Genomic DNA, 22,798 nt, shown 5'->3' with positions numbered 1-22,798 from the left:
GGGATTACAGGCATGAGCCACTGCACCTGGCCTGATTCTGTAACTTTTTAAAAGTTTGGAAATCTCAGTTTAGTGGGAAAGTATGGAACAGGGAGCTGGGAAACCTGTTTCTAGTACTAGCTCTGTCCTGCGAACTTGGGCACATCCATCTTCTGTCTGGACCTCCGTCTGTTTCCAAGGGGCTTTTCCACCTGTGAGTCTCTAACCCAGCTTGACTCTCTGGGTCGCTCTGCATGGGTAGGGGGTGAGACCAAGGAAGAGGGGAGCCACACTCCCAGCAATCCTCCCACAGTCTCCCCAAGCTATCAGAAGATTCATAAAGCCTGGGGTTGTTTTATTTGTCATATCACTCTGGAAATATTGATACTGGATTGCCAAACAGAAAAGCAATTCTTCTCTTTTTATGGCAAGAGGAGGGTACAGAAAATGATCCTGCTCATTAGCAAGGCAGGCCCGAGACGCAGCTCCCCTATTCTCCAGGATGGCTTGGAGAGTCGGAGTAAAACACAGATGAGAGATATCCATCTGTTTGCATTTAATTTGAGGCTGAGTTCCCAGGTCTTGACCATGGAGAGCTGCATTCCAACATGCAACACCAGGACAAGGGCAACGGAGGAGAGATTCCTGCCTGTGAGGTGCAGTAATTCTCAATCAAGGGCTTCTCAGTGATATCTGGGTCCCTCCACTGTTTCCTTGGTGATTAAAGTGGCACAGATAAAGTCAGGGCAGCGTGGCTGATTTAAAGGGGCATCGGTGAGGACTGGCACTTCCTAGAGCTCTGGGAAAACCCAGTATCCCGTCAGTAATAGAATACAATGGCTGCGCTTTATCAATTGCCTAGTATAAACTAAATTCTGAGTTCAGAGCATTATCAACTTTTTCTCAATAAATCCCCACAACAACCCTGAGGCAAACTGGGAGAGTGGCAGCCCATTTTATAGCTGTGGAAACTGAGGCTCAGAGAAGGTTAGTAATTTGGCCAGTCACAAAACTTGAGCCAGAGTCTAACCAGATCTGTCTTGCTCCAAATTCCATAGCCCATGCTCTTACTATTCCCCACTTCCCCCCAAATTCCAGAGTATGTAGATAATAAGAACAATAATAAATTGTTACTTATTGATATTTACTGTGTGCCAAGCATCTTGCTCGAAGTATTTTTGGTTGTCTCATCTATTCTTCTCAACAATCTATGAGGTAAATACTAGTGTGCCCATTTCACAGATGACAAAACTGAAGCATGAAGAAGCCACAACATCTATCAAGGTCACACACCAAGTTGAGGATAGAACTGGGGTTCGATATTCTATAGTTTACTCAGATTGACAATTTCCTATCAGTCTTATTGCCTGATGGCCAATGTGCAGGGAAGGGCTGAGGGGGGCGCCACAGGCAGCTGGATATGGCTGGTTCTGGACACCCTGTTACCAACCCTCTGTCGTAGGCAGGAGGCGGAACTGTCCTCTGACACATGTAACGCGTTGGGATTTTAAAAAGAAGTTTTCACGGAGGCACCAAGATGCAACAGACAGTGCCTAATGAAGTGTGGGGCCTGACTAAGACTCCATCCTGGGGTCTAACTCCTACCATAGGCAAGAGACTATGGCAGAAGAGAAGCAGCTGCCCTGGGGGTGTCTGCATGCCCAGTGCATGAGGGGACAAAGGCTGTGTGCTCACTGCTGAGCCCAGAAAGAGAACAGCTCGGGACCATTTTGAGTCATGCCCACGGGGACTTCCAGGAAGAGCTGGGACTCAACAGCAACAGTCTGTGTGGAGAGGGCCCATTAGAGACGTGGAAGCTGAGGGGAAACGGACGGAGATGCGTATCGTCAGTCAGCACCCAAGAATGAATGAGAAAGGAAGTTCACTGCCCTCCTCCCTTCCTCCATCCCCTTCCCCAGCCCTGGAGGACTCAGTTACAGCATGCCCTGTCCCCTGCAATCTGTCAGCTGTTCTGGTCACAAGCCAGATTCCCTCCACAAGAGGGAAAAGATTCGACTTTAAATCAGATGTGAAATGTGGATTATCGTCTGGGACTATACATCCTTATTTTGTAATTGAAACCTATTTTATGCCTAAAAGTGACTTTTTAATGGCCTTCTTACCTGAAAGTGAAACAATAAGCCATGAGGATAAAATGCAAAAGCACAGTGGGAGAAACAAATAATGCTGCATTTTGTTTACACCCCGAAGTTGCAATTTGCCGTTTTTCATTGTATCAGTTACCCTGCCAAATCCAGGATTCTGTGGGATAAGGCAGCAAAAAGTACAGAGAAAGGGACTCTGAAGCCCAGCCCATAGGGGAAGAAAGGAAGGGATTCATCCCCTAATGAACCACACAAATGAGCCCGCCCCTCTGGCCAGGCCTTGAGTGGGTGTGTGTCCCAGAGAAGTAACAATGTAACCTTGAATACCTCCATAGCGACACTGTCAAGGGGCCCTTGGAGGCTGCACATTCCCAGCCCTGTCCCGGCTCTTCCCTTGAGACTCCTTGTACACTGACTGGCCGCAACAGGCTAAGATGAAAGAACTTTGGAAATCAGATGCAGCCCAAACTGAGCTTTATTCTGCAGGCAATTACAAATCATTGAAAATGTTTAAGCAAGAAAGTGGCCTGGGACTTCAGGTACCTGAGACTCCGGGGGACAGGAGGGCTGGAGAAGGCTCTTTGGTCTCTCAGGATAGTGTCTTTCGGCTGTCTGTTTTGCGGCCACACCCACCCACCCTCCCTCCAGCTCCGGGTTAGGAACTTTTGTCATATCCCACAGCCAGCTTGAGGTCAGATGGAGATCTGCCTTGGCCCAGGAGTAGGAGATAGGGCTACCCATGACTGAGAGTGTGCTATTCCTGATGTAAATGCCCTTGCAGCTACCAGCCCCTTAGAACCTTCCCTGAAAGCCCAACCCTCTCCCACCAGCCCCCTCAGAGCAGAGCACAGCCCAGACCTGAATATCTCCTCCCAAAAAATATCGGAGAAGCAGACTCTGTCCTGGGCCTCAGTACGAGTGAATGGTCAACCATCCAGGCAGGGTGAGCCAGGAGTGGTAAAGGTGGACCATCTCTCAGACCCCCTATCCCTTGAGACTCCAACGAGAGGAAGGGATCCCAGGAATGTGAGCTCCATGTCTCCCCCACAAGCCCACTGGACACAAAGAAGAATAGGGAGTGTTCTCTGCAGGCATGAGCTCAGGCCAGCGCCTGTCCACACAGCTTCAGCCAGGTCTCAACATCAGCACCAGCTCCTGGTTGTATCCACTTCCTGATGTAGTGCCAGGTGCTGCTCTACCTTGCAGCACTGTGGTAAGCAGTGCTGCTGGGATGCCAGGCTGCCTGGGTTCGAATCCCTGATGCCCCACTTAGTGGCCCTGTGACCTTATGCAAGTGGCTTAACCTCTCTTGGAGTCTGTTTCCTCATCTGTCAAATAGGCACGATAATAGCACCTACCCGATAGGCCAAGGTGAGGCTGATCCCTTAGACTACTAGGACCAGGGCTAGCACACAGTTTGCTCTCTGGAATTGTTTGCCTTACCACTGTTCTGGTGCTGCCTCCAGCCCTCTCCAGGTTTCCTGGCTTCCTGGGCTCAGATGGCTGATTTAGTGCACTCGCCTTCCCTCTCCCCCTTCCTCTCCAGGGTGGATTGGTTTGAATGCGATCTGTAATCTCCCGAAAGGCCCCGGAGGGACCCATCGGCTCCTTCTAAGGAGCATTAACTCAAACCGTAACCAGCTCTCCAAGCGTGTTGGGGAGGCCAGGTCCTCTGGGAGCCCTTCTGACTGCTGCGGAGGAGCTGGCAGCTCCCTCTTCCAGGTGGGGAGGGGGAATTGCATGGCCTCTGCCCTCAACCCAGCTCCATGCCTGCCCAGGAGGCCCCTACCCTTCAAGGGCCCCTTGCCCTGTGTCCAGCTGAGTCCACCTCCCAGGGATGCTTTTCTGTGAGGGGACATGACTGCAGGGCCACCTGAGCAGGGACCATGGCATGGCCCAAAGCCTTACTGGGGTTGGAAGCAACCCTCAACCTCCCAGCAAACTGATTCCCTATGGGTTTTGACTGCAAATCCTTGACCCCTGCCCAGGAAGCTCTGCTTCCCCTCTCCTCCTCCTGGGATGGGGACCTCATGTCCCCAGGAGCAGGGACAGGGTTATTGTCTGGAAGAAGCTTCTGGGGCCTGCAAGAATCCCTCGAGGGACCCAACAGGAGCACAGGGCACAAGGATGAGCAGGGAGGATGGGCAAGGAGGGGCAGGGACAGGCAGGGAGGGGCCAGGAGCACCAGCCCCACCAGGGCTGACTTGGAAGTCCTCACTCAGCTTTGTGCTAGGTTTGGGACTGGGCTCCAAGAGAGGTCAGGGGTGATCCATCTGGGAAGTCAGAATGAGAGAATTGGGACCGGAAGTTTCTGCCATGTCTCTCCTCAGCCCGGGGCTTTTCCAGGGTTGGAACACGGCTCCCCTCACACCAGGACTCCTTCCCTTAGACTGGGGCTCCCTGAGAACAGAGCTGGGTCTTTCCTCAAGCAGAGCATCTCATGCCCTTTACTCACTTACTGGGGACGGGCGTGCCCTTTATTACTTACCAAATGCCTACTGTGTGCCAGGCCCTGAGCTGGGGCCTGGGATTTGATAGTGAGAGGGGGAGATATGGCCCTGCCTTCGTGGAATGCCCCCTGGCTCCTCCCTCCCTCAGCATACCACAGGGGCAAAGGGTAGCAAACACCCCGTGGCCCTCACCCTGTGCCAGGCGTGGCTTCCATTCAATCCTCCCCACAACCCTCCATGTCCATACCTCATTACTATCACTCTCGGTTTACAACTGAGGCACAGAAAGTTCAGGAAGCTTCCTAAGGGTGCAGGGCTAATAAGGACAACACCAGAAGCAGGGTGTGGTTCTCACCTATGAAGCCCTCCCTGCACCTCATAGGGCTTTTACAGCCTCACCGTCACTGATTCCTCAAACCTCCCGTGTGGGGAGCACTGTTCCTATCACTGTGAAACAATGAGAAAGCTGAACTGAAGCTAAGGAACAAATTCCTATGTAAACTCCATGACGGCAGCCCCTACTCCAGTTAATTCACCCTGCTATTCCCAGGCTCCTAAGCCATACCTAGTATTGAGTAAACACTCAAACACATTTCTTGTATGAATGAATCAATGAACAAAGAAACAAATGAATAATTGCCTCTGGGGTCAGCAGTTGGCCTCATTGCAATCATCCTGGTTGACAGATTATCTCCCGTTAACCCCAAGCCTCAGTAGCCTGCACAGCCAGACACAGAAGCCCAGCCTATGGCCCCAGAAGGTCTAGAAAATGAGAACATCTAGGCTGAGCTGGGGCCTCTCTGGGATTTGATGAGTGTGGCTTAAAGAGAAGGAAATGCAGTCGAATCAAATGCCCTGAAAGTCAGTCTAGCAGAGAAGCATTGAAAGCAAGTCCCCTTAGCCTATCTTGTTTGAGAGCGGGGAGTGGGGATGGGGACACCGCCCACCAGCAGGTAAGCCTGTTACCTGTCTGCCGGCCTGTCCACTGACTCCTTGGCCAGGGCCTGCCAACCCCTCGCTCAGCTCCCCTCAGAAGGAGGTCAGAGGCTGGGCCTGGGGAACCCCTGCAACCAGGCCCCATGGTGTCCAGAGCCCCCTACGTCTTACCCCAGGCCTGAGCCAGGGTCCTGCCTGGCCAAGAAGGGACTGAGCCCCAGGGAGGAGAGAGAATAGAGAAAAGTAAATGAAGCCCTGCCCCGCCCCCTCCGATATGCACAGATGCAGGTTGCCACTCAAAAAGCAATCTCTCCAAACGTTTAAAAACTGCCTGCAATTTATATCTTGTGCTTGACAGAGCATCTCCAAGTCATTTCCTGGTGCAGAGAAGTGCAAACTCCCAAGCCAGGGGGCTGCTCCACCCCCAGCCTAGGCCAGTATGTCGGGTACCTCCCCATGGGGGAGAGGAGGAAACAAAGAGAGCAAATTCTCTTTCTTCCCCCTTCAGCCTCAGAGAGAGTCAGAGAGAGATCCCAAAGGTGACAGCTGCAACCCCAGCCAGGAGTCCCCTCAGAAGTTAAAGAGCCATAGACAAAAAAGGGACCTCCTTCTTGGACTCATCAACAGACACTGATGAATAGGGCCCACCTCCGGGAAACAGTGGTTTTACTGCAATGTGTCCTGTGCTCTAAGAGAGGGAGCCTTGGGATGGAAGGATTCAGAGGAGGGGGTGTCAACCCTCTCTGGGAAGGTGTCGTTTTAGCTGTGTCTAGAAGGAGGAGCAGAAGTTTGCCAAGCTGAAACAGAGAGGAATTCCAAATGGAAGGCATAGCTTGGGCAAAGGCACAGTGGTGTGAAGAGCCTGAAGTCTGGAGTGCAGAGCCGAGAAAGCAGCGGCAGGTGAGGCCAGAGGGCGGAGATGGGGACGAGGAAACCCTGGTTCCAGGAGCTGGCTGTGACCCTCAGGGTGCATCCACAAGACCTTCAAGCAGAAAAGGACATTGACAACGGAGACAAAGACACGCAAAGAGGCCAACCTGGGGAGGAGCAAGGCTGCTCAGAGAAGAGGTAGGGTCCCTACTCCCACCTCATCTCCTTCTCCCCTCCCCTCCCACGACACCCTCCAGCCACGCCCCCACGCTGTCTCCCCTGCCTAGATGGCCGGCTCCTCCAGCTGCAAGTCACTGATCAAACGCTACCTCCTCTGGGAAGCCTCCTCTGACTTCAACATCTAACAACGCCTCCCCAGTCCATCTGCCTCACCAGCCTTTTCCATTGTCTTCAGAGCATTTACCATCTGAAATTAGCTTCATTGTCATCCCCATGGGATTTTAAACTCCAGGTGAGCAAAGACTTTTTTTAAGACAAGCAAAGGCTTGTTCTTAGTGATAGCTCCAAGCACCTAGAAAAAAACCTGGCACATAGTGGGCACTCAACAAATATCTGCCGAATGAATGAATAAGTGCTTCGTCACCGCGCTGAGGCTCCGGCTCCCTGTTCAGAACGGGGCTCTCTGCCTGCAAACTCCAGCCCTAGCCGTTGTCTGTGCAGTTCCTTCTGCAATTAATCATGTTCTGTCAGGTGATACCCTTTGTGTTGTCATTGGAGGCTGCATCTCATTCATCTCTGTCTCACCCCAGGGCCCAGCGCGTAGTAGGTGTTCAATCAGGGGTTCCCTGTCGTTAACCCTCCCTACCTTCCCGGCAAGAGTGATGTGCTCAGCAGAAGACGTTCCTGGGGCAGAAGCAGCCACCATCCCCCACCCCCACCTCCACAGGTCCCTTGGGGCAGAGAGGAGGGGCCAGAGGCAGAGCTGAGGGGAGCAGCTCAGAGAGGAGCATCAAGGACTTCGCCATCCTTCTCTGAAGGAAAACTCCCTTTCTGGGCAGGAAAGCAGTTGGTACAGACAGAAGGACATCTGTCTTGGTCTCAAAAAGACCCGATTCCAGCTCAGGAAAAAGTTTTACCACTCAGGAGCTGAGTGACCTTGGGCCAGCCAATTCACCTCTCTGATCCTCATGTCTCTCATCAGAAAAAGTGCTGTGTTGTTGGGAAGATCAAATGCTGTCTTGAATGGAGAGTGTCTAGCACAACACACCTAGTGAGGGCGCAATAAATGCAAGCAGTAAAAAGAATCATAATAACAACTAATGCATGTCAAGGTGCTCACTGGGTTTACACTCACTCAATGTTCATCACTTTGCTCTCAGTGCTGTATTTAGAACTCACGATAGCCCTGATATAGGTACGATTATTAATACCATTTTGCAATTGAGGACAGGGTGATCCAGAGAGGTTAAGCAACTTGCCCAAGACCACACAGCTGGCAGGTGGAAGAGCAAAGATTCGAAATCAGGAAGTCTGGCTTCAGAGTCCACCCTTTTAAGTTTACTATTATTATTGCTAGAACAGTGGAAAACTAAAGCATAGCCTCACCTCTCTAAGCCTCAGTTTTCCTGCCCGTAAATGGGTAGAATAACACTGCCTACCGAGAATTATGAGGGTAGGCAGAATTAGGAGGATTCAATAACATGTAAACAAGTGTCTGGCACACAGTGGGAACTCAGTAATTGCCGGTAGCCTCTCCTTCTTACGCCCAGAGGGACAGCAGGCCACTCGGAGCGCTCTGCGCAAAAAGCTGCATGGAGAAGGAGCCAGCTGATAAAGCAAGTGTCGGCTGCTCATTTGGTAAATGAGATTTGGTTAGAAAGATGAACGCTGCCACTTCTGGCTAATGTGTCATGTAAATTCTAATGATAATACAGCTCCCGAGCCTGCACCCACCCAGTGCCCGCCGCCTCTGCCTCCACCGCTCAATTATCTCCCGAGGCTCCTGGCAGAATCCATGCTTCACTGGGATCCTCGCCCCAGCCTGCCTTCCCCAGCCGCAAATAATGAAAACCCGCCTCGTCTGTGAGATTGCTCACTTACATTTTCTATTAATTCTTTCCTTTCAGAGGAAAAATGAGAGGAGCTGGGGAAGGAGGAGGCAAGGTGGGGGGTGGGGCCGAACTGCAGCCTTTCAAGGCCAATCAGCTCTGCCCCAGGGACCGACACACGAACAGTCTGGAGAGGGGTGGTCAGGATGGGAGAGGTTCCCACGTCAGGGCCTCAGTCATCCAACCCTTGAGACAAAGGAAGCCCACGGGTCAGTGAGGCCCAGAGGTCAGAACCAGGACCTTTGGTGGGGAGAGGAGCAGGGATTCCAATCCTCTATTCACTTGCTGTGTGACTTCGAGCAAGTCGCTTAACCTCTCTGGATGCAATGCCTTCATTTGTGAAAGGTGGGGTGAGCTGGTTGGCCAGCATCCAGGGCCCATCCTGAGCTGACTGGATGTGATTACCAGTATCAGGGACAGACTTTGGCTCCTTGCAAGGAAGGCTTTCTTAGCAGACAGGAAGGGGTTATGTGAGTGGTGGTGAGTTTCCCATCCAAAAAGATGTTCAAACTATGACAAGGATATGCAGAAACTCACCACTCTCTCTGACAAGGTTCTGAGACCACCTGGATATCTATGCAAGATCTGTTGGCTGGGACAGGATGGAAAGTGGGGGAAGGCAGTTAGAGTTGTCCCCATTCTAAAGAACGCAGGGCCTGGGGAGGGGAACCTCCCACTCTAGGTCCCATCCTGAGTCCTGAGTCTGTATGGGGCTAACGGGAAGCTGCACTCATTTTTGGAGCCAGTGTCTTCCATGTGCTAGAAATGGTAGGTACAGATTTGAACCAGACCCCAATCTTTGTCTTCAGGGAGCTGTTTACAGTCTGCTGGGAGGTGGGAGGCACGAACAGGCCATTGCTCTGAAGGGGGTACATACAGGAGTGAAAAGAGCACAGGAGTTCACAGCAGCAAGAGAAAGACCAGCACTCACCCCCACCCAGGGAAGCCTCCCTGGAGGAGGTGGCATTTAATCCAGGTAGCACTAGAATGGTTAGAAACATGTAGGAAATCATCTGGTATACAGCAGGCACTCAGTAAGAGATAGCAGTGCCCTCCCCGTCAGCTAAGCTAGGGAATCCAGGGAGGGAGGCCCACAGAAGAGCCCTAGGGACCAATGCAGGGTCAGACATGCAGCAGGGGCCAGTGCATGTCTCAAAAGTGAATGGGTGAGTGGGCGACTGCGTTAGCTGTGGCAGGGGGGAAAGGGAGTGAGTGGGTGGGTGGGGGAGTGAGTGAGTGGGTAGATGGGTGAGTGGGTGAGTGGTGGGTAGGTGGGTGGGTGGGTGAATGAATGAGTTGGTGGGTGGGTGGGTGGGTGGGTAAGTGGGTGAGTGATTTGCAGAACTCTATGTATAAACAAAAACATGATCCCATTTTTATAAAGATGGATCCTAAAACCTTCTGGCCTCATTTGTATGTATGTGGAGAAAGGCCTGGAAGAACACACACTGAGCTGCCGACTCTGGTTGCCCCTGGAGGATGGGCCTGGGGGAGGGAGGAACACTCACTCTGTTCTCTACACACTTCTGTGTGTTGTTTTTTATAGTGAGAATGTATTATTTTTGTAACATTAAAAACAAATTTTAAAAATGTAAGAAATGTTTAAGCTTTGTAGGCTAATTAAAAATTAAATCTATATCAGAAAAGATTCCCTTGTCCTCCACTCCCCCGTGCAGCCACTGCCTCTGCCAGGAAGCCCTTTCAGACATCAAATCTAAACCCTTCAAGATATGAAGCTCACTTCTCGGGCTGTCTCCAGGTGAGCGGGAGAGGGGAGCTGCCAGGATTCTCTGCCCAGCCGCTAGTCTGATGCACTGGCCAAGGCTCCCTTGCTGGCTGCCTTGGGACCTGCCCCCACTCCCATGGACGTGATGAGGAGGAGAGGGAACAGGTTTGGCCTGGCCTCATTCTGGGGAGAGCTCCCCACCTTCGAGAAGGAATTTTCCTGGCAGAAGCAGCAGCCCCTTCAGCTCCCAGGACGCGTAGGATGCCTTCAGGCCCAACATATGTGGGATCTTCTAAAACAGGGACAGGAAAGGAGGAAAAATAAAGTCTGTTCCCCTAGGTCTGTTGTCTCAACAAGCAGCGGCCTCCAGAAACACTTTCCACAGAAGCAGTGGGGGCCAAGATTCACAGGCAGAGTCCCAATGTGCAGATGGGCAAACTGAGGCCCACCGGATGAGAAAAGACCCATCCTGCGTCCCCCTGCACAGTGGGTTAGAGGCAAAGCCAGGACTGGAACGTAAAACCCCTGGATCGGAGCATAAGATGGAGAAGGTGGGCCTAAGAGGAGATGAGCAGGGAAGGGAGGAGACAGAGACAGAGACAGAGCTGGAGAGGCTAGCACTGACTTGAAGAGGGGAGGGGAAGGGCTGCCCCAGGCTGGCTCTCTAGACGGCTCCCATCAGGGACATAGTGGGGCTCCTGGACCCCAGGGTCACGTGCAGTTGGCAGAGACTGGACGTGACTGGTGCAATACACCTAATATTTCCAGTTCTGCCCCTTCCTGGCAGGTGGTGAGATTCACTTCCTGTAGGTGGAAGTGAGGCATGCAGCTAGTTCTGACCAATGACTGGGAACAGAGTGGTGTGGTCTCTTCTGGGCCAGAGAATTTCAGTGCCGACGCACCCTTCTGAGTGCTTGTTCCCTCTGCCCCAAAACTGACAAAAGGCAAGCCAGGTCCTGAGTGACTAAGATGAGCAGAGATTCTGTTGACCCTTGCTGGACACATTGCAGGAATAATAAATAAATCTTTTTTGTTTTAAACCACTGAGACTTGGGTATGTTTGTTAAGGCAACATACAATCTGGCCGATCCTGACCGATGTACAAAATATGAGCTTTGGAATCAGATAGCTCAGATTCAAATCCCAGCAACTCCACTGACTCTCTGATGACCCTGAGCAAGTCCTGTTTCCTGCAGGTCTCTGTCTTCCCTTTTAGAAAATAAAGGACCCAAGAATGAGATTACCTCCAGCTCCCAGAACTCCAGGACTTTCTACCCTTTTCTTAGAAAGCTCCCCACTCCTGGCCAGGATCACACAGAGTCTTGAGGATACCAGAGAGACAGCACATCTCTGGGGATCCCCAAAGACAGAGGTCTTTCTATGGAAGTGCAGTATTCTCTACTAAGGTTCCCAAACCTGGCTGCTTATCAAAGTACTAAGGGAAGTTTAGAAATGCAGATTCCTTAGCCTGATTCACAGAGATTCAGATGCAGCAGGTCTGAGCTAGCGCCCAGAGATCTGATGCAGGTCTAGAAGCCCCACATCAGAACATCCCAGATGGATCTCATCAGACCTAGCAAGGGAAGGCTGGGCTGAACAGGCCTAGCCCAACCCTGAATCCCCGCAAAGCCTGCTCCCCTTCCCCTTCTTTTTTTTTTCTTTTTTTTTTTTTTTTTTTTTTTTGAGACAGAGTCTCACACTGTCACCCAGGCTGGAGTGCAACGGCGCGATCTCGGCTCACTGCAACCTCTGCCTACCGGGTTCACGCAATTCTCCTGCCCCAGCCTCCCAAGTAGGTGGGATTGCATCCCCTTCCTTTTTTTCGGGAGTCCCTCCTCCCACCACCCTCCTGGCCCTCCCAAAGGGCCACCTTCTCAGCCAGTCCTTGCTACATTTTAGATAAAAGTGGAACAGGGCACTCAATAATGCAGCTCAAACCCAGCTCACCTGCAGCAGCCACATGTCTCCCCAGCCGGGTGCCAGCTAGAGGAATCTAGCCCCAGGCCTAACTCCTCCCACCGGCTCCCTCCCCAGCCTCCCTCCTCCCTCCTCATTGTCCTTCCCAATCCCCCAGCGTGCCAAGGTGAGAAAAACACCAAAGGGTGAATTTCTGATTAAAAACCAGCCTCTACTTATTGCCTTGGCTGTTCTTGCAGGGGGGAAAGGGTTCAGCTTGTGTATGTATGCACCTGTGCGCTCAGGTATGTGTGAGTTACTGATGGGCATGTGTGCCTCTGAGTAGACATGTGTCAGCCTGGGAGTGTGAGAATGTGCGTACACATGTGTCTGTGTGTGAGTATGTGGTTTGGGTGAGTGCATGTATCCATGGGTATATATGTGTGTGCAGGGTTGTAAATGTGCAGGGGTACATATGTGTGAATGTGTGTACATGGATATGCTTATGAGGGTGTGTGACTCTGTGTGTGTGTGTGTGTGTGTGTGTGTGTGTGTGTGTACTAATGTGTACTGACAGAAAAAGCCTTCTGGTTAAACTAATACCGTTAAGTTTGGGTAGCAGGATAATCCAAAATACTGGTTCTGGGGGAAATCATTAAAAAATACACAACATCGGGGCCAGATGCTGTGGCTCACACCTGTAATCCCAGCACTTTGGGAGGCCAAGGTGGGTGGATCACGAGGTCAGGAGATCGAGTCCATCCTGGCTAACACGGTGAAACCCTGTCTCTACTAAAAATACAAAAGAAAAAATTAGCCAGGCATGGTGGCGGGTGCCTGTAGTCCCAGCTACTCGGGAGGCTGAGGCAGGAGAATGGCGTGAACCCGGGAGGCAGAGCTTGCAGTGAGCCGAGATCGCACTACCGCACTCTAGCCTGGGTGACAGAGTGAGACTCCATATCCAAAAAAAAAAAATACACAACATCAACATTTTATTTCAAAAAGCATATACGTTTTTTGCCTTTTGAATTTTCTCTAAAGCAGGACAAAGTCTTTGGTTTGCCTGTGGTTCTAATGATTGGAGCTGTGTCCTCTTTCTTGGGTAAACCAAACCCACACTTCATTCTCAATTTCCTATTTCAATTTCTCTAAAGTGGAGCAAGAAGGTAAGAAGACTCTTGTAAAGTGATATGAGTGCCACATCTTCTAGGTCTTCACAATTTTGTTCCCAATCTTATCTTAGAGTTGCTTATCCACACCTAATTTGACAGCAATTTTTTAAGCAATTCACCTTTATAGAGTCTTTCTAGAGACTTCAATTTCATTTTATAGAAACAACAACTTTTTGTGTGCTCACAGTATTGTGGAGTACTTATTATTTAATTAAATTGTAGAATTTCAATAACAAGGGCTAGTGGCATAAACCAATCTGGAAACAAATACAACTGACTCTTTGTAAGCCTGTAACTCAGCCTGAGGGAGCAGAGGCCCGCAGGCTAGTTCATTAGAGAGCAGCTTTGTGGATGGCAAGGTCTGCGTGGGATGGACATCAGGCTGTGTGTTTCACAGAGAAAAGGCGAAGCTCAGTCAGGCGAGGGTCGAGAGGAGATGTGTTAGAGGAGCCTCCTGTCTGTGTGGGTGTGTGTATCTCGTGTGTGGGCTGAATGCATGTGGATCTGTGCCCAGGTATTTATGAGAGCACATATGAGTGTCCCCATCACTTACCCCAGCAGACAAGCCTCAGCCAAGACCACTACAAAATACGGATTATCCACCCTATCATCCGTCTGCAGCAGATGAAGGTGACAAGTGAGTTGGGCCTGACTGTTGGTTATGTGATCTGAGTCCCTGGCCACGAGATAAAGCTGGGGACAGGGCAGAGCCAGCGTGTTCTGAGTGTCTACTGTCTGCCATCTCTCTGGACTCTCACAATGAACTCGGAGATGTCCATCCTTTTCTCCCACACCACAGTTGAGGAAACTGAGGCCCTAAGAAGTGAGGGGCTTCTCCAGCTGGACGATGGTGGCACTGGGCTGAAAACACAGGCCGCTCAGGCCTATCACTGACCAGGGCTCCCCCACACACAGGAGGTTTAAGTGATTACTGATTTCCTGTGAATCGTAAGTGAGAATCCTTCATGGACACCAGCCTGCCGCGTGGGCCTCTGTGGAGCTGGGGGTGATGGTGGGCAAGGAGGCTCACCAGTGGGTGCTTAGGAGGTGGAGACAAGGCTGGGTTCAGGCTGGCACCCACCAGTAACCAGACCAGGGCTCATCTTGGCAAGGCTGTCTGGATTATTCAAAGACACTCACAACTAACTGGGTGTTGGATACTTATATCATCCCTTAGGAGGGCAGAGGAGACGGTCCTTCTTCCCATTTGACAGATGAAGGAACTGAGCCCGAAGAGGCAGCCCTAGCAGTGAGTGGCAAAGCTTGGGTGTGACCCATACACATCTCTGCTCTCTTCCACCCAGCCCTCATCTCCCAATCTCCAGAACAATTCCTGGAAATTAGTAAACGCACAGTGCAATGCATTCTACTGGCCAGGGTTGCCAATAAACAATATGTAATTCTTTAGTATGGGTATGTCTTAACTATTGCATGGAACACACTTATAAACTTGTTGTTTGGCATTCAAATTTAACTAGGCATCCTGGATTTTTATTGGCTAAATCTAGAATTCTACGATAACCACTCTTCCACTCACCCACTCCTAAGCCTCCTGGAGAGACGTTAGGATAGGAGTTTCGGGGCCAGGCGCAGTGGCTCACACCTGTATTCCCAGCACTTTGGGAGGCCAAAGCAGGCAGATCATCTGAGGTCAGGAGTTCAAGACCGGCCTGACCAACATGGAGAAACCCTGTCTCTACTTAAAATACAAAATTAGCCGGGCGTGGTGGCGCCTGCCTGTCATCCCAGCTACTCGGGAGGCTGAGGCAGAAGAATCGCTTGAACCCAGGAGGCAGAAGTTGCAGTGAGCCGAGATCGTGCCATTGCGCTCCAGCCTGGGCAACAAGAGCAAAACTTCGTCTCAAAAAAAAAAAAAAAAAAGGAAATGTGTGTCAGCCCTCTGCCCCCACCCACCAGAGAAAGAGCAGACAGCCCTATGGAAAGGACAGGGGAGGAGCGAGGCCTTGACTTCGGGCAGTGCTGGGTCTGATCTCTTGCCCCTTGGTGTGTGACCTTGGCCAAGTCACTCACCCCCTTTGAGTCTTCATTTCTCCATAGGGGGGTTGTGAGCATTAAATAAGATAATCCACACAAAATGTTGTATCTTGTGTAAGTGTTCAATGGAAGGGAGCCATTATTATTATTGTTATTATTATTATTATTTACCAGATGGTGAAATTAAGGCTTAGAGAGGGAAAATGAGTTGGTGAAGGTCACCGGGAGTTGGTAGCAGACCAGACACCCGCACTCAGGCCTCCTCTGTCACTGCAGCACTGCAGCACTGAGGCACTGCACCGTGCAGCTGCTTCAGTGTTTTGTGGCCAAGACACCAGAGGCTAGCTGGGCAGTCAAGGCTCAGTGACCTATCCCAAATATCCTCCTTCTATAAACAGCTGCCTGCCGCAGCACCTGAGGCCATGGCAGGTGGCTCAGGGCCCCACAGTCTACACTCACCCACTGTTTCCTCCCCAGAGCACCTGCAGACCAAAGATGGTCTTCAGTCCCCTCTCCCTTGTGATCTGGGGGTGCTGTAAGTTCCCACCCTATATCAAATCTATCCCTAGCCTCCCAGGGAAGTTGAGAGCTGCCCTGGAATGACAGCAGTGAGGAGGAGCACTGCCATCTAGCCCGCACCAGCAGGCCAGGCCCTGGAAAAAACAAAGGATGCCTGCAAGCTTCTCAGCCCCTGAACTCCCATCTCACCTTCAGATTACTACCAGATGCAGCCGCCAGGAGAGCCTGGGATTTCTCCCAGGCCTCTCCCCAGGTTGGAAAGGAATTGAGAGGAAAGACTAGAGTGCCCTCCCACAGCGGGCCCTGCCTGGGATTCCACAGGGACCTGGCCAAGAACTCTGCCCCCTCCAACTCCCCTCCTCCCTCCCCGACCCCAGCACCCCATCTGTAACCCTAACGAGTTGCTGACAGTTCCCATCTGTTCCTCTCCGGCTTCCTGGGGAAAGGGAGAGAGAGGAGGGGATGCTGAGAAGGGTAGAACAGAGCAGAAAGTGGTTTCCTCACACTGGGGCTGCTGGGCATCCTAGCCGCATGGTTGTCCACTGCCCTGCTGCCAAAGAAACCCTCATGCCCACACCCCTGGAGGTCCCACTCCTTAGGGTGTGAGGGTCTTTAAGAGAAGAGGTTCCAGCCACAGTGTCCTGCCCAGCTGCTGACTTCCAGATTCAACAGCTGGAAATCCAGCTCTCAGAAGGACCATCTCAGGAAGAGAAAGGACCAGCCTGACTCCCCAGTCCAGGAATTCCCAAGGTGCCTTCTTCCCTCACCCCACCCCCACCCACGTTCTGCTCTCAGACCATGGGACAAGGTGGGGGCTTAAGGACAGGAGCTGCAGTCTTAGCCCACAGGCCCAGCCCACCCCCATCAGCTCCTATCTGGCTCCCGCTCGCCAATGCTGCCATCTAGAGGTCATCCGGGGCACCTCAGGAACCGATGCGCTGCCCAGGAGCCCTCTAGGATCCCCACCCCCAAGGCCCACCATGGAAGGCTGGACCAAGGATGGAGTGCCCAAACACCTTGCCTGGAGGCGCTGGGAGCGTCACCTCACCCACCCCCTACTTCCAGGAAGCTGTATGGCCATGAGCTGTTCCCTGGCTCCTTGCTCATGGAGTGACCCTCTTCACGGAAGCTCAGGGCCTGTTAGAAAGGAAAATGAAGTCGCTATAAGAAGGGAAAATGAACGGGAAAGCTCAGGGCCTGTAAGAAGGGGAAACGAAGTGATGTGCCACCACGTCTCACACTCACTGAAGCTGCCATGTGGATAATAGTGCCCCATTTAAAAGTCGAGGACACAGGCACAGGTAGGTAGAGGGAACCGTTCATTTAGAGTGATAAACTTCCTGGCTTGGTTTTCTGGAGGGGATCACTTCAGTCCTCAAAGGTTCGCTAATTCGTTTGCCAGTCCTGTGCTGGGGGAGGACCTACTGTGTGTTGGGGTCTGTGCCAGGTCCTGGGAAACTCAGGGACATATCAGACGCTGCCCAAGGCACACTCACCAAGGGGCTGGGGGGCATGGGCAGGACTCCTGGCTACACCAGGAAGTCCCTGAGAGGCAAACCATGAGGTCCCTGTGAGAAGTCACCAGCCGTGACAGCAATGCCAACAGAACCATCCTCAGCCAGGGAAGGCCATTTGGCAGCCCATGCTTCTTAGACGGGGCCCTGTCCTGAGCACTGCTTCAGAGACTTACCCATAAGGGACTAGGAGAGGCCACCATCCACCAGTCACCACAGCCAAGCAGCCCTCTCCCCCAGAGGAACCAACCTCTCTCAGAGCCAGCTATGACAACCCCCAGTCCCCTAGACAAGCTAGAGAACCCACAGGGCTAACACATAGCAGGTGCTCAGCCTATGTTAGAAGAATGAAGAAATTAGATAATTAAGGGGTTATTCACACGGGAGCTTCCCAGCCATATAAAATCAGATCTACCACTCCTTCCACCCCTGGCTGTCCTTGTCCCAGTGGCCAGCAAGTCCTTAGAGTAGAGGAAACCCAGGAGACTAGCATTCTCGTTCCATTGCTGCATCTCACCTGCTGCGTGACCCATGGCAAGCCTCCCCTCTCCGGGCCTCAGTCTCCCCATGTGTATAAGGGGGAGTTGGACTAGACAGGTGGTGTCTAAGGCCTTGGTATAGGGGAGGGTAACCTAACCCTACCCAGCCACCCTAACTCTCTTACCCTTTCCACCCCTCCTCCTCCAGAATCAAAGGTGAGGCCATAAGCTGGTACCACATGGAGACCTAGAGGAATTGCTGCCCAACACACCTGTGTGTCCCCCCAACATACACAAAGTATGCATATGTACATACAAACATGCACACATGTGCATGAAGCCACATACATGCACGCATGCATTACAGGCACCCGTGTATACACATACCAGTGTCTGCACATCACACACTCAAACACATGCCCTGTGCTCAGTGCTGCAGAGCCTCAGAAACAAGCTTAGGGACACACTGAAGTTATGAAATTGATTTCTCTGGGAACAGTTGGAATTAGTTTTAATTATCTTTATCTTTCTTCCAATTGTGCTCTCAGCCTTCCCCTCGCTGTGTAATCCATTGCTATTGACTTCCCCGTAGGCGCTGGGGATGGGGGAAGCTGGGTGGGGTATGCAATGTGTTCATTTTTGGTACAAATAAACAACAGCAACAATCACCTCCCACCCATGTCTTCCTCTGCACCAGAGGAATCAGCCTCTCCCAGAGAGCCAGCAGGACTTCCTGCTCCCACAAACACACTCACAACATCCAAACCTTATTCTTCAAGGAAGCCCCTTCCAGGAAGCCCTCCCTGGTTGGGATGAGAGAGGGCTTAGACATGCGATCTGTTCATATCTCTACATCTCACAAGTTTGGGCTTTCAAAGTGGTCCCCTGAGGAGGCTGAGCTTCATTCAGGAGGCTCAGATTCCCTGCTGAAAAGCCCTTTCTATCTCATCCTCCAGGATCCCCTCCCTGAGCTCCCACCAGGCCCTAGCATATGGGATGTCCCCTGTACAGCATCTAGTATAGTGGGGGCAGGACCTGGGTCTGATTCATCTCTGAGATCAGGCACATAGTAGGTGATCAATAAATATTTGTTGAATGAATGAATGAGTCAATGGAAAATTCCTTTTTGAAACCTGCCTTTAGAGTCTAACACATCTACTCATTCATTCAACCAATACTGAGCACCAATGCTGTTCCAGGCACTGTGCCAGGCACCAAAGATACAGAAATGAATAGGAGCTGGTCTGATCCTTGTGCAGCACCCCACTTAGGAGACAGGACAGGGGGGTGGGGTCCTCAAGCAGAGATGGGGTGAAAAGTGTATCTGAGTGAGAGAAACAAAGGCAGAAGCTTTTATTTTTAAGAAATCTTAATGAAGGCAGATCAGTTTTGAGGAGCTGGTTGCCTCTAGAACTAGGGGGACTGACTGGTAGGATGCTCTGTCCTCCAGGGGCTCCCACGCTGTGCCCAGGCCTGGGCCAATTCCACACCAGGCACGTGGGAGGCTCTGCTGCCCTGGGTGTGTGTGCAGGGCGATATCGGCCCCTCCTCCAAGGGGTGCTCCCCTTGGAGCCGTGAAGGGGAGGAGGCCATCCCTCACCAGCAAGGTGCCAGTGCTAAGTGCCCTGCAGCACTAATATTTTATGATTAAAAACCATTAAGGTTTAGACCATGAAAATCCGAGGGACACAAAATCAATGGCCCAATATTGCTTCCCCCGGTAAGTTGTGTAAATATTGTGTCTTTTATTGTTTGGCCGATGGCAAGAGCAGAGATACAGGTGCAGATTATACTAATGCATCCCCTCCTGTTCCAGCCCTGACCTGGTGGAATTAACATCCTGGCTGAGAGGGGCCAGGACAGGCCTGGTGAGCTGGCCACAGAGAGGTCCTGACTGGCCCGTGGTGGAAAGTCACCCCATTTCCTCGTCCACCCTTCTCCCACACTCCCCATCAGACTCCCCAGAGGCAGCGACACAGCCCCAGGCCCCTCCCCCACACAGTGTCCCCACACTAATCACACAGACACATGTCTCATGGTGACGTGCTCTCCTGACAGCCCGTCCATCACCCAGCTCCGCCATCTGCTTGAATTTGCATATTGAATCAGGATCTGTCTTTTCTCCTCTGGGGGTTCCGATGAGGGTGGAGAAGATGATTCCAGGAGTTGCTCCCGTGGCGATCGGGCAGGCGATGTTGGGGGGCACCTCTCCTATCTGGAGTTGGGTGACTGTGGAATGCCTGGGCTCCCTCCTGCTGCTCTGGGAATGGGGTCATACCAGGTACACCCTGCCCCCAGCTTCGAGAAGGACTGGGGACAATGCTGGGGTCCCTCCTGTCTTCAGGGGACAGGGATGCCTGAACCCTCCTTTCTCCTTCCAGTCTTGGCTGCTTCCTCCCCGTACCCTGTCCCTCTCAGGGAAGAGCCAGGTATGACTCTAGGATTAGACACCACAACCCAGGACCCTGGCCCCATGTTGAGGAAAGTAGGGGTGGAGCAGGGGTCACTCTCTAGCAATGCCAGAGAAGCTGCCGGGGGAACCCAATAAAGTCTTTTCACTGAGAGGGTGCCCAGAAAAGAGAATGAGTGCACCCACGTAAGGGGAGAAGCTCTGGCGACGGAGACAGCGTGACTGATGTGATGGGAGAAGAGCTGCGGAGATGTGGAAGGCAGCGCTGAGGCTGACCTGAGGAGGATGAGCTCGGCTGCTGGCGGAGAGCAGCTGAGCAAAGGGGCGGGAATGCCTGGTCTGGGGCAAGAGCAGGGCCACTGGCATAACAAAGGGAAGAGCTGGCGGGCACAGGAAACCCCTGAACTGATGGAGGAACAGGTGGGTGGATGTGAGAGAATGGCAAAGCTCATGTGGGGAAGCCGCCGGGCTCCAGGTTCCTATGGGAGGACACTGTGACTCATGTTCAGGAGCATCTAGGCTTATACTGAGAGAGTAGTTGGATAAAGCCGGGGAGATAGCTGGGCTGAGGTGGGGGACAGCTGGGCCGAGGTGGGGACAGCTGGGCCGAGGTGGGGACAGCTGGGCTGAGGTGAGGGGACAGCTGGGCTGAGGTGGGGGACAGCTGGACTGGGGTGGGGACAGCTGGGCTGAGGTGAGGGGACAGCTGGACTGGGGTGGGGACAGCTGGGCTGAGGTGGGGGACAGCTGGACCAGGGTGGGGACAGCTGGGCTGAGGTGGGGGACAGCTGGACTGGGGTGGGGACAGCTGGGCTGAGGTGGGGGACAGCTGGGCTGAGGTGAGGAGACAGCTGGGCTGAGGTGGGGGACAGCTGGACTGGGGTGGGGACAGCTGGGCTGAGGTGAGGGGACAGCTGGACTGGGGTGGGGACAGCTGGGCTGAGGTGGGGGACAGCTGGACTGGAGTGGGGACAGCTGGGCTGAGGTGAGGGGACAGCTGGACTGGGGTGGGGACAGCTGGGCTTAGGTGGGGACAGCTGGGCTGAGGTGAGGGGACAGCTGGACTGGGGTGGGGACAGCTGGGCTGAGGTGGGGGACAGCTGGGCTGAGGTGAGGGGACAGCTGGACTGGAGTGGGGACAGCTGGGCTGAGGTGGGGGACAGCTGGGCTGAGGTGAGGAGACAGCTGGGCTGAGGAGAGGGGACAGCTGGACTGGGGTGGGGACAGCTGGGCTGAGGTGGCGGACAGCTGGACTGAGGTGAGGGGAGAGCTGGGCTTAGATGGGGACAGCTGGGCTGAAGTGAGGGGACTGCTGGGCTGAGGTGGGGGACATCTGGGCTGAGGTGAGGGGAGAGCTGGGCTGAAGTGGGGGACTGGGCTGAGGTGAGGGAACCGCTGGACTGAAGTGGGGACAGCTGGGCTGAGGTGGGGACAGCTGGGCTGAAGCAGGGGACAGCTTGGCTGAGGTGGTGACAGCTAGGCTGAGGTGGGGGACAGCTGGGCTGAGATGGGGACAGCTGGGCTGAGGTGGTGACAGCTAGGCTGAGGTGGGGGACAGCTGGGCTGAGGTGAGGGGGCAGCTAGGCTGAGGTGAGGGACAGCTGGGCTGAGGTGGGAACAGCTGGGCTGAGGTGAGGGGACAGCTGGGCTGAGGCAGGCAGGACACCTGGCTAATGGCACAGCAGTAGAGACACTGGCAGTGGACAAGTCCCCATGTATTTTCTGTTTGGGACCACATCCTACTTTTCAGAAATGCCTTGGGAAGGCCTGACCAGACTGTGACCCTGCAGCCTCCAGGCCACAGTCAGGGGAGGGTCACAGGTGGAAGCACTTTTTCCCATCCTAACCCCCCGCCCCCCACAAATCCACAGGCAATGGAGCAGGCGGGCAGGCGACGGGGGTTGTGGGCCTCACCTTCCACCACTGCCCTCAGAGACTCCCCCAAGGGCTGTGAATGACCCTGAACTCTCGGGTCCCATGGTGTCCAAATGGAGCAGGCCCTTGGAGGGCGTCATCCCAGGCCCCCAATTACAAGTGTGTCAGATGACCTTCTTAGCTCCATTTTTCAGATGGGGAGACTGAGGACTAGAGAACAACCTGCCTGCGGTCAGGCAGAAGTGGTCCGGGCTGAACAGGGATTGAATGTGATCAGTCCAGCCTAGTTCCCGGCTCTTTGTCACTGCGGCTGCACCTTTCCAGAATGTATCTGAAGAAGCAAGACCTCGAGGCCCAATTCACTGCTGTCTCGATTCCTGACTCACTTTCCCCTCTTCTCTGTTTGAGAAAATCTGTTCTTTGGCAGTGTTTCTCCCCCAGGCCCTGGTCCCTGGGAAAACCCAGCTGCAATAAAGCAGCCATTGCTTGGGCTGTGGAAGAACGTTCTAGAGCACAAGCAGAGGAAGGGGGACCGGTCGACTGAAGACAAGGCCCAGGAGAGCTGGCCTCCTCCATGGGACACCTGCCGGCCCAGGCATCTCCTCCCCTGGCAAAGAGTTCCCAACCCTGCTGCTCAGAACTCCTCTCCAGGGCTTTTTCCAGCATGAGCTGCCCCTCCCCTCTGGGGTGGGTCACAGTAAAGTCCTGCAGGCACGCAGCCGTCACAGCAGAGTGACCAGGTGCCAACAGGGGGTGGATTTCCCTGGGTAGTTCATTCCAAATGGGCCACGCAGGTACTGTGG

General features: G+C 53.0%; 4 annotated features.

Annotated features, from left to right (window-relative positions):
• Positions 1,354–1,523: an enhancer, noted in NCBI's record as "experimental_7558 CRE fragment used in MPRA reporter constructs". NCBI's record gives its function as "activates a minimal promoter by MPRAs in K562 erythroleukemia cells, with activity observed for both the introgressed and non-introgressed 1:37057032 or rs12405687 variant alleles {active_cell/tissue: K562}" and the evidence as "EXISTENCE:reporter gene assay evidence [ECO:0000049][PMID:34662402]".
• Position 1,438: a transcriptional cis regulatory region, noted in NCBI's record as "Neanderthal adaptively introgressed variant 1:37057032 (GRCh37/hg19 assembly coordinates) or rs12405687 in the experimental_7558 CRE". NCBI's record gives its function as "modulates activity of the experimental_7558 enhancer by MPRAs in K562 erythroleukemia cells {active_cell/tissue: K562}" and the evidence as "EXISTENCE:reporter gene assay evidence [ECO:0000049][PMID:34662402]".
• Positions 3,395–3,895: an enhancer, noted in NCBI's record as "H3K4me1 hESC enhancer chr1:37054575-37055075 (GRCh37/hg19 assembly coordinates)". NCBI's record gives its function as "activates a minimal SCP1, AML or CMV promoter by ChIP-STARR-seq in primed H9 embryonic stem cells {active_cell/tissue: H9 hESC(primed)}" and the evidence as "EXISTENCE:reporter gene assay evidence [ECO:0000049][PMID:30033119]".
• Positions 20,367–20,661: a silencer, noted in NCBI's record as "tiled region #1123; HepG2 Repressive non-DNase unmatched - State 21:Repr, and K562 Repressive non-DNase unmatched - State 22:ReprW". NCBI's record gives its function as "represses a minimal TATA promoter and a strong SV40 promoter by Sharpr-MPRA in HepG2 and K562 cells {active_cell/tissue: HepG2 | K562}" and the evidence as "EXISTENCE:reporter gene assay evidence [ECO:0000049][PMID:27701403]".

Source organism: Homo sapiens, chromosome 1, assembly GCF_000001405.40.
Source record: "Homo sapiens chromosome 1, GRCh38.p14 Primary Assembly".
In the NCBI taxonomy this organism is placed as follows: domain Eukaryota; kingdom Metazoa; phylum Chordata; class Mammalia; order Primates; family Hominidae; genus Homo; species Homo sapiens.
This window is presented reverse-complemented; position numbering and strand designations above follow the sequence as displayed.